The sequence below is a fragment of the Homo sapiens genome, chromosome X, assembly GCF_000001405.40.
Source record: "Homo sapiens chromosome X, GRCh38.p14 Primary Assembly".
Classification (NCBI taxonomy): Eukaryota; Metazoa; Chordata; class Mammalia; order Primates; family Hominidae; genus Homo; species Homo sapiens.
Genome location: NC_000023.11, coordinates 114,127,177 through 114,138,455, shown reverse-complemented (window position 1 = coordinate 114,138,455; position 11,279 = coordinate 114,127,177). Strand labels below are relative to the sequence as shown.

General features: G+C 37.6%; 1 annotated feature.

Annotated features, from left to right (window-relative positions):
* Positions 10,022-10,867: an enhancer, noted in NCBI's record as "H3K27ac-H3K4me1 hESC enhancer chrX:113370803-113371648 (GRCh37/hg19 assembly coordinates)". NCBI's record gives its function as "activates a minimal SCP1, AML or CMV promoter by ChIP-STARR-seq in naive H9 embryonic stem cells {active_cell/tissue: H9 hESC(naive)}" and the evidence as "EXISTENCE:reporter gene assay evidence [ECO:0000049][PMID:30033119]".

The following is an 11,279-nucleotide window of genomic DNA, read 5'->3' as shown; positions in this document are numbered from 1 at the left end:
AAATTTTAGTTTCAAGGTGAATTTAGCTGATAAACTCTAAAATGAACTGTATTTTTTTTACCATTTAGCATATTAGAACATTTTCCTTAACCATTCTTTATTACTCCTTAGCTTCTATAGGCTTGGCAGTGTCCCACATGATACTATTAATCTGTATCAGTCAGTTTGCTGCAAAATAAGGTAGTAATCATTCTATTCACAGGTACCTAAATATTGGAACACAGTATCTGAATATGATAATGGGCATCTAATTATCATGAAGGATTAAGTAAATGTAAATATGCCTTTAACAAAGATTTTATGAACCATTTTATGGTTTCTCTATACTTCTCATTTATAGGAGCAGATTGTAGAGAAACACAAAGTTCATCCCTAGAAGAACAATTGCTCTCGAGCCACTAGCATATCACTTAGCACAGAAATTTATCCTGGAATTTACATCCTATAAATTCACATTAGCACTCTATATTCTTTTTTTTTTTTTTTTTTTTTTTTTTGAGAGGGAGTCTTGCTCTGTCGCCCAGGCTGGAGTGCAATGGCGCAATCTCTCCTCACTGCAAGCTCCGCCTCCCGGGTTCACACCATTCTCCTGCCTCAGCCTCCCGAGTAGCTGGGACTACAGGTGCCCGCCACCACGCCCGGCTAATTTTTTTGTATTTTTAGTAGAGACAGGGTTTCACCGTGTTAGCCAGGATGGTCTCGATCTCCTGACCTTGTGATCCGCCCACCTTGGCCTCCCAAAGTGCTGGGATTACAGGCAAGAGCCACCGCGCCCGGCCAGCACTCTATATTCTTTACTTTACATCCTTTATCCAATGTATCTTACTTCTTCATTCAATACATCTCTTAGATTCACTCTCCTCATCCTGGCATGCAAAGTACTCAAAAATCTTATTCAGAGGTAGAATTTCTGAGAAGCTAATAAAACTTAATCTCTGTGCCCCTCACTTGCACAGGCCCCTTTCAAGGCCTGGCAAGGCCTCAGCAACATGTTCATATGGTCATATATTTCTGAAAAATTTGCACAAGTAGCATACTTTAACTACATTCAGTTAAGACCACTATCTTAATCTACTCTGATTTTGTCTCATGTCAGATGGCATTGGAGTTGGAAATAGAGTCATGGGACTTTTTGCAATCTGGCTAAAAGGAAGTTGATGAACTATCTGACACTGGCAAAGATAAACTCACAATTTGCCATGACAATGAGGATGTTGATGACAATTTGTTATGAGTGTCACCAGTTAAAAGAGTGTCTAAGATTAGTCATTGTACAAGAAAATTTGAAATGCCAAGAAAACTTTCAGCTCACATATAAAGGAAATTTGAAAGTTTTACCAAATTTGACAATTCTACAAATTTACATGACTTTTTTTTCTCTGAATGACAAATCTGTCATACATTATTGATAATTAGTTGTGAAACTAAAATAACCTTTTTTAAACCAACAATGATAAAAACGATTTTTTGTCATACTCCAGGGGAAAGGAATCATCTCTTAATTCTTTCCATAGACATTTAAATTACAAAACTATTGTCCTATAAAGAGGCAATCAATAAATATCAGGCAAAACTTATATGAAGAAAAGTATATAGAGGTATTCAAGCCATGATGCAATAAAATATTTGTTATTTTACTAGAATTCTAAAATATTTGTTATTTTAAAATGTTTGTTGGCCTTCTAAAATTTGAAATTCGGCTGGTGGCTCATGCCTGTAATCCCAGCACTTTGGGAGGCCGAGGTGGGTGGGTCGCTTGAGGTCAGGAGTTCGAGACCAGCCTGACCAACATGGAAAAACCCCGTCTCTACTAAAAACACAAAAATTAGCCAAGCGTGGTGGTGGGCGCCTGTAATCCCAGCTACTCGGCAGGCTGAGACAGGAGAATCACTTGAATCTGGAAGGCGGAGGTTGCAGTCAGCCGAGATCACGCCATTGCACTCCAGCCTGGGCAACAGAGCGAGACTCCATCTCAAAAAATAATAATAAAATAAAATTTGAAATTTGCTGAGATTTGTTTGCCCATTTTAAGTAACTTGTTCATACCTAATATTGCATTCATAATTTTATAATATTTCTCTTAAAGAGGGCCCCATCAAATGTAGATGGGCCCCTGATTTGTCCACATAAATAAAGTCAGTTTCCATCTGAGCCTATCAAGCCAGCTTCCCTTTCATCTCTCTAACACACCATGTTGACTCCTGTCTCCACTTTTATTCAGCTTAGTTTGTCATCTATCCTTCCTTCACCCAACTATGCAAATATTGTTATTCAACCTTAAAGACTTACCTCAAAAGCTATCACCTGTAGGAAGTTATTCTTGATTTGATCATCCCTCCATAGGTGCAATTGGTCATTTTTTTTCTGAATCAGTTTACTTTATATGAACTTACATAGGAGATAAGCACTGTAAGTCAATTCTCCACTGTATTGTGATTGTCTTCAGAGCAAGAGGAAGCTCTTTTAGGTTACTTTGCGCAAGAATGCCTGGTACATTATTTTCCTTACTGTGGATTTTCAATTGATATTGGTTAAATCAGTAGGTGGGTGTGTAGTAAAATTCTGTTTTTAGAACACAACTGAATTCCACAACTACAAAGCTATTTTTTCCTGTCTACTCAAGCCCAAATTGATTTCGCTCTTTTTAAAAATTTTCTTCTGCATTATATAGGATTCTTGATCATTTAGAATAGCATCATTCAATACATGTTGCCTTCCCTTTTGAACTGAGAGTAGAAATCATGATATAGAACTCTTTTGGAGCTCCTCTAGAGATTTAATATTCAACTGAATTACTGAAGTGCACTTTAAAGCACATTTTATTTATTTCTCTACTACAAAATATTCTATTTTCATTGATGATGACATGTAACATTCACAATCATTGCCATACATTCCCAATGCCTGTACACTTATTTACTTAATTTTTTTCTTTTAACACACTCATATTTTGTAATTACATAACTTTATTTTAAAAGGAAGCAGCTTGAATAGAAATTCAGCATTGCTAGTGATAAAGAACAGGTATAATTTCTAACTAGGTACTTCTCTTTTTTTTGAGAAAGGGTCCCACTTTGTCCCCCAGGCTGGAGTGCAGTGGTGTGATCTCAGCTCACTGCAGCCTTGACCTCCTGGGCTCAAGAGATCCTCCCACCTCACCCCCCCCATCAAGTAGCTGGGACTAGAGGCACAGGCCATCACACTCGGCTACTTTTTTTTGTATTTTTTGTAGAGATGGGGTTTTACAATGCTGCCCAGGCTGGTCTAGAACTCCTGAGCTCGTGCAATCCACCTGCCTTGACCTCCCAAAGCGCTAGGATTACAGGTGTGAGCCACTGTGACCAGCCTCTATCTACATACTTCTGTCAAATGTTCTCACCCCAAGCCTGCTTGCTCTCTATTAAAAGGAAAAATTAGCAAATAATAAAAAGATGTTAATGATTCATTAGCACCAAATTGGAACTTTCTTTTTGACACAATACATTCATCTATTCATAAAATTGATATTTGTTGAGCTCTTACTATGTACATGGATACTCAAGATACTAGTCTCCTTGGGATCCTAGTGAGTGAAGATTTTTAAAAAGCAATTAATTCAAATAAATATGCAGGTTAATTTGAGCTAGAACAAATTCCTTAAAGAAGATAAAATAGAGTAATATGAAAGAGAGTCACTTGAATGTGAGTCATTTTTTTTTTTCTTTTTTGAGACAGAGGCTCACTATGTTGCCCAGGCTGGTTTTGAACTCCTGGGCTCAAACAATCTGCCCACCTCGGCCTCCTAAAGTGCTGGGATTGCAGGCATGAGTCACCACACTTGGCCTAATGTGAGTCATTTTTAATTGGGCAATCAGAAAAGTAAAAGATTATAAAAAGAAATTGCTTTTTTACTGAATTATTATTTTTAAAGGTTATGTCTGTGTATCACCTGAAATAATTATTGTATACCACCAAGCTACACATCTTACATTTTGGCAAACACAAGCCCATGTTTACATTTTGGAGCAAATAGATCTGAATAAGAATTTCAGCTCTAATACCAGCTTGGAAATCTTGGACAAGTTACCTAATCTCTCTAAGCCTCAGTTTCCTCATCAGAAAAATGAGGAAGAGTCTACAGCCATACCACCCTGAACACACCTGATCTTGTCTGATTTCAGAAAAATGAAGATGATAAAAATAAAATTTGTAAAAACTCTACAAATTATAGATTTGATTTAAAGACTAAATAAGAGGAAATAGGCAATATACTTAAGAGAGTGTCTGGCACATCATAAGCAGTCTTTTTAAAAAGTCCTAAAGTAATTTTGTTATTTAGCAATTATCAGGTCTTTTTGGTATTAAAGGAAGCTTTTGGTAGTCGCCATTTGGTGGGGGCTGTAGATTTCCTATGGCAAGACCTCACCATCATGTGGTATGCTACATTGAAAACAAGCTTTGCAAATTTTGTCACGTGCACAAAATATTTATAATTACAAAAACATAACTGCATGCAGCCCAGGTTAATTCCCACTCTCTGCCCTGAGACACACAGACTAACACTTTGCAGAAAAGATTTACTTTTGGACAGGCGCAATGATATTCCTAGAGCAGGGGCAGCCAGTGTGGTACTCACAACAAGAGGCAGAGTCCTCTGTGAAGTGGAGGAATATGGAATCAATGGACTTTTGGATATTGAGTTTTGCACAGAGAATCATAGTTGCCAGGCTCACAATATTCTTATACCTGGTTCTGGTAAGGTCATAGGACCTTACTGCCTTTCTAACCAACCATCTCTCCTGAATATCAATGAAATATATTTCTAATGTCTCTTATTCTAAATACAAATTCTCCAGTATGGATTTTGATCATAATATTTGAAATGCTAAGTAGCCATTTCTAATTTGTGGATTCCAATTTAAAGTACTTTGCTTATTTATTTATTTTTATGTTTATATATTTATTTATTTTTTAATTTATTTTTTCCTTAAGTTATTGGGTTATTGGGTTGCAGGTGGTATTTTGTTACATGAGTACATGAGTAAGTTCTTTAGCGGTGATTTGTGAGAGTTTGGTACACCCATCACCCAAGCAGTATACACTGCACCTATTTGTAGCCTTTTGTCCCTCACCCCCCTCCTACTCTTCCCCACAAGTCTCCAAAGTCCATTGTATCACTCTTATGCCTTTGTGTCCTCATAGCTTAGCTCCCACATATCAGTGAGCGCATACGATGTTTGGTTTTCCATTCCTGAGTTACTTCACTTAGAATAATAGTCTCCAATCTCATCCAGGTCACTGCAAATGCTGTTAATTAATTCCATTTTATGGCTGCATAGTATTCCTTTACATATATATATACATATATATATATATATATATATATATCAGTTTCTTTTTCCACTAGTTGATTGATGGGCATTTGGGTTGGTTCCACAATTTTGCAATTGTGAATTGTGGTGCTATAAACATGTGTGTGCAATTATCTTTTTCAAATGACTTCTTTTCCTCTGGATAGATACCCCTTAGTGGGATTGCTGGATCAAATGGTAGTTCTATTTTCAGTTATTTAAGGAACCGCTACACTGTTTTCCATATTGGCTGTACTAGTTTACATTCCCACTGGCAGTGTAGAAGTGTTCCCTGTTCACTGCATCCATGCCAACATCTACTGTTTTTTCATTTTTTGATTATGGCCATTCTTGCAGGAGTAAGGTGATATCGCATTGTGGTTTTGATTTGCATTTCCCTGACCATTAGTGATGTTGAGCATTTTTTCATATGTTTGTTGGCCATCTGTATATCTTTTTTGAGAATTGTCTATTCATGTCCTTAGCCCACTTTTTGATGGGATTGTTTGTTTTTTTTCTTACTGATTTGTTTGCGTTCGTTGTAGATTCTGGATATTAGTCCTTTGTCAGATGTATAGATAGTGAAGATTTTCTCCCACTCTGTGGGTTTTGTGTATACTCTGTTGACTGTTCCTTTTGCCGTGCAAAAGCTCTTTAGTTTGATTAGGTACCAGCTATTTGTCTTTGTTTTTATTGCATTTGCTTTTGGGTTCTTGGTCATTAAATCCTTGCCTAAGCCAATATCTAGAAGGGTTTTTCCAATGTTATCTTCTAGAATTGTTGTAGTTTCAGCCAATTTAAAGTACTTTAAATGCTAATTAACTATCCCTACAGTGAAATTGTCTTAATTGTGCACGTTTATACTACACTGTATATACTGAAGTATTTTTAAAGTAAAATACTCCACTATATAACAACTTAATAATATTAGTGTTATTTATTATAAAATAGATAAAGGTGGAACCTTGGCTGTGACAATTAGAACCAGTTTATAGGAAAATGCAATTGTCTTAGTATTGAGTAATTATCCTATTCTTCCCATCCCTAGTCACTTTGTGAAAGTAAATAAGGATTATAGGAAGAGCTTCTGAACTTTCTCTGGTCACCAGTTGGTGACAGCATTAGCCTTCATGAATCTCTAAGCCATGCTGGACAAACAGTAGGTGTTTAATATATTCCTACTTTTGGATAGATGAGAACAGCCCAAAAGTACTGATTATTGATATTATTATGATGAGTGCTCTGACTTTAAATGGAAAAAGAAAATAAAAATCAACAGTTTGCTCTCATTTTCCCTCTGGTTTTACTTGTTTGCAGTAGATGCAGTGTGGTATACAACAGTAATATTTAAAAACACTCATTCCAGTTCTGCCGCTAATTAGCTATGCACTCACGCACAAGTCACAGCTTCTGTGCTTCAATTTTCTCATCAATAAAGTATGGATTATACTCATGCTCCCTAACTGGCAGAAGTGTTTGGAAGAGAGAATGAAGTTATAGATGAGGATAGGTATTGAAAATTGTAAAAGCTCTACACTAACATAGAATGCTATTACTATTTTTCTTTTGGTATAATTCCCAATCAGAGAACATAATACCACATTGGCCTATAATAATACCGTTAGTGAAAGTAGCTCAATTAGACTCAGTGGATGGCAGAAGATAAACTACAAAAATATATTGGCATATGTAGAAGTCATTCATTTTACATAAATGCCAAAGAGGAAGAAAGTTCTGTTTTCTTCCATTGAGAAGATGATGCTATTATTTATAGAACCGTAATAAGATATTCACAAGTTTTTCATCTCCAACTGCTTATAGTTATATCCAAACTACAAGTCTATCAGATACATTGTCTTGATGTTTTGGAGTTTTATTCAAGTACATCCATCAGGAATAATGCTATTACATAGCATTATTTCAAAGCACAAGCTGTGCTTTGAAAAGCTCAAAAGGTTCCTTTTTCTCCAGTCTTACTTCCATGATCCTGGAAAGTCCAAGACCATTTTCATCAACCTGAATGAGTTTACCTAAGGAAGTTTTGACTGTAAAAGAAGACATACAAATAGCAAACAGGTATATGAAAAGGTGCTCAACATCACTGATCATGAGAGAAATACAAATCAAAACTACATTTAGATATCATCTCGCCCCAGCTAAAATGGCTTAGACCCAAAAGGCAAGCAATAACAAATGTTGGTAAGGATGTGGAGAAAGGGGAACCCTTGTACACTGTCTGTGGGAATGTCAGGTAGTACAACTACTATGGAGAACAGTTTGGAGTTTCATCAAAAAACTATAAATATAGCTACCATACAATCCAGTAATCCCACTCCTAAGTATATATGTAAAAGTAAGGAAATCAGTAGATCAAAGAGATATCTGCACTCCTGTTTGTTGCAGCACTGTTCACAGCGGTTAAGATTTAGAAGCAAACTAAGTGTCCATTAATAGATGAGCAGGTAAAGAAAATGTGGTATATATACACAATGAAGTTCTATTCAGCCATAAAAAAGAATGAGATCCTGTCATTTGCAACAACATGGATGGAACTGGAGATCATTATGTGAAGTGAAATAAGCCAGGCACAGAAAGACAAACATGATATGTTCTCACTTACTTGTGGGGTCTAAAAATCAAAACAATGGAACTCATGGACATACAGAGTAGAAGGATGGTTACCAGAGGCTGAGAAAGGTAGTGGGAGGATTGAGGGGGCAAGGTGGGGATGGGTAATGGGTACAAAATAAATAGAAAGAATGAATGAGATCTAGTATTTAGACTATAGTCAATAATAACTTAATTCTACATTTTAAAGAGCATAATAAGATTGTTTGTAACTCAAAGGATAAATGCTTGAGGGGATGGATACCCCCATTCTCCATGATGTGCTTATTTCACATTGCATGCCTATATCAAAACATCTTATGTACTCCATAAAAATGTATACCTACTATGTACCCAGATAAATTAAAAATAAAGCCTTTGTACTCCATAAAAATGTATACCTACTATGTACCCAGATAAATTAAAAATAAAACGTCTTTTAAAATAAAATGAACTAAAACAATGTTTTTATTGGATTAGGTTTTTTTCTTACATGAGAGGAGAAATATATTAGCAACCATAGCAGTAGGAATTTATTTTCTTGTAAATTTAATGTCACTGTCAGGTAACAACTGTCCTGAAATATTGGCAATAGGATTGGTGGAAAAATGTAGAAAAAGCTCTAAAACTGATGTGCTGTCTTGATCCAGTAAGATGCAAGAGACATAGAGAAAGAGAGGAGGGACAACAGGGGACTGTTTGAGAGGACCAACAGAAGCGATGGGGAGGTGAAGGTGAACAGAGGATCCACTCCATATACTTCACCATTTTGCCTGAGATAGACTTTGAAAACAGAATTAAGTAATCAATTGACTTGGAAAAAAATCTTGATTTGCCTCCATTCTCTAAGTGGGGTGCTGTCTTGAGAAGCCCCAAGCATCCAGATACAGAGAGGACATCTCAGAAAAGAAAGGTGGAAAAGCCCCAAAGGCAAGAAAGAAAGATGAATTAAGCACAGTGAAAAACACGGTATTTTGGCTTGTTGGCTTGGATCTCCAAATATGTTTCAAGTGAAACACAGAGATCTATAATTTGTGACACTAATCTGAAAATTTCTCCCTTGATGCAAACTCTCTTTGGTATTTGTCAGTTGAAACAAAAAACACACTGCTCTCTAACGGTTCAATGAACACATTTATTACTCTATATAAGACACCATTAATGTAGAAATAACATAATTGTTAACATTAAAAATTTATATTGTGATTTACATTAAATTCCACAGCATGTTACATACCATTTTGTGCACTTATTATTAAAGCACTTATCTTAAAATCACTGCTTTATATGGCAGAGGAGGAAAGGCTAATGGAAGTAAGAACCCAAAGCATGAAGGTGTAAATTACCTTCGGAAGTCAAGTCCAAAAAAAAAAAAAAAGTTTAGAAAACAAATTTTGTATTACTTGTCCAAATAAGGTCCAAATTGAGGTGTAATTACAAGATGATGAAAGTTATTTTTTTGCATGATATATCAGCTGGCTCTGATGACAGCTCCGAAAATTGAAATCCACTCAGATTTGCAGCAATGTCAACATTGCTAGAGTATGTGTATGGTCTTGCAAGGTGACTATATGAAATGAGCAATATATTTGTTCGGTTATGAGTTCCAATTATATTGGTTTGCTAAAAATCACCCCAAAAACCATTAAATGGTGTAAATAAAGACAGAGAAAGGACACATGGGCAAGAATACAAGCGTTTACTCTCATGTGAAATTGTGAAAGTATCAATTCAAAGTCATGTGAAAAAAGAGAAGTTTCACAAGAAATATATCAAAAGACCAACTCAAATTCTTTTATATTTTACAACTTTCATTACTCTACTACTTAGAGCTACTTGGTATAAGCTAAAGTAAGGATTATATGCCAAAGGAACATCTAAATATTGGAGGGACTATTCAAAAGCAGTAGCCAAGAAAATTTTACTTTATCTACAGACAAAAGAAACACCAATTATTACCATAAAATTACCAAACTTGAGAGTAAGGTACAGTCCAAAAAAGAAAGTGTTATAAATTCAGGTTCATAATAACACTTCCTTCCATAAGAAAACATTAAAAGGGTTAAAAAAAAGTGGGGAGAGCTAAAGTATGACTGAGATTTAAAAAGTAGCCCAACCTCATAACACACTCTGAGGTATATCATTCAAATATAAAATCCATTGAATGAAATTAAAACAATACACTAAGAATCGGCAATAGAGAGACCAATGTAATTTGGTGGAATATAAGCAGAAGAAAATATGAAAAGCCGATTGCTGGCAAGATGACTGAATAGGAACAGCTCCGGTCTGCATCTCCCAGTGAGATTGAAGCAGAAGGCAGGTGATTTCTGCGTTTCCAACTGAGGTACCCGGTTAATCTCATTGGAACTGGTTGGACAGTGGGTGCAGCCCACGGAAGGCAAGCCAAAGCAGGGTGGGCCATCGCCTCACCCAGGAAGCTCAAGGGCTTGGGGAATTTTCTCCCCTACCCAAGGGAAGCTGCGAGGGACTGAGCCTGAGGAACTTCAGCACAGATACTGCGCTTGTCCCATGGTCTTCACAACCCGCAAACCAGGAGATTCCATCCGGTGCCTACCCCACCAGGGCCCTGGGTTTCAAGCACAAAACTAGGCGGCCATTTGGCCAGACACTGAACTAGCTGCAGGAGTTCTTTTTTTCCATACCCCAGTGGCACTTGGAATGCCAGTGAGACAGAACCGTTCACTCCCCTGGAAAGGGGTGCTGAAGCCAGGGAGCCAAGTAATGTGGCTCGGAGGGTCCCACCCCCATGGAGCCCAGCAAACTAAGATCCACTGGCTTGAAATTCTCGCTGCCAGCACAGCAGCAGTCTGAGATGGACTTGGGATGCTCGAGCTTGGTCGGGGGAGGGGCGTCCGCCATTGCTAATGCTTAAGTAGGTGGCTTTATGCTCACAGTGTAAACAAACCCTCTGGGAAGTTCAAACGGGACAGAGCCCACTTCAGCTCAGCAAGGCTGCTGTGGCCAGACTGCCAAATTTCTCAGCTCTGGGGAGGGTATCTCCGAAAAAAAGGCAGTAGCCCCAGTCAGGGACTTATAGATAAAACCCCATCTCCCTGGAAAAAAGCACCTAGGGAAAGGGGTGGCTGTGGGCGCAGCTTCAGCAGATTTAAACATCCCTGCCTGACAGCACTGAAGAGAGCAGCGGACCTCCCAGCACAGCATTCAAGCTCTGCTAAGGGTGAGACTGCCTCCTCAAGTGTGCCCTTGACCCCCGTGTACCTGACTGGCAGACACCTCCCAAAAGGGGCCGACAGACACCTCATACAGGAGAGCTCTGGCTGGCATCTGGCAGGTGCCCCCTCTGGGACGAAGCTTTCA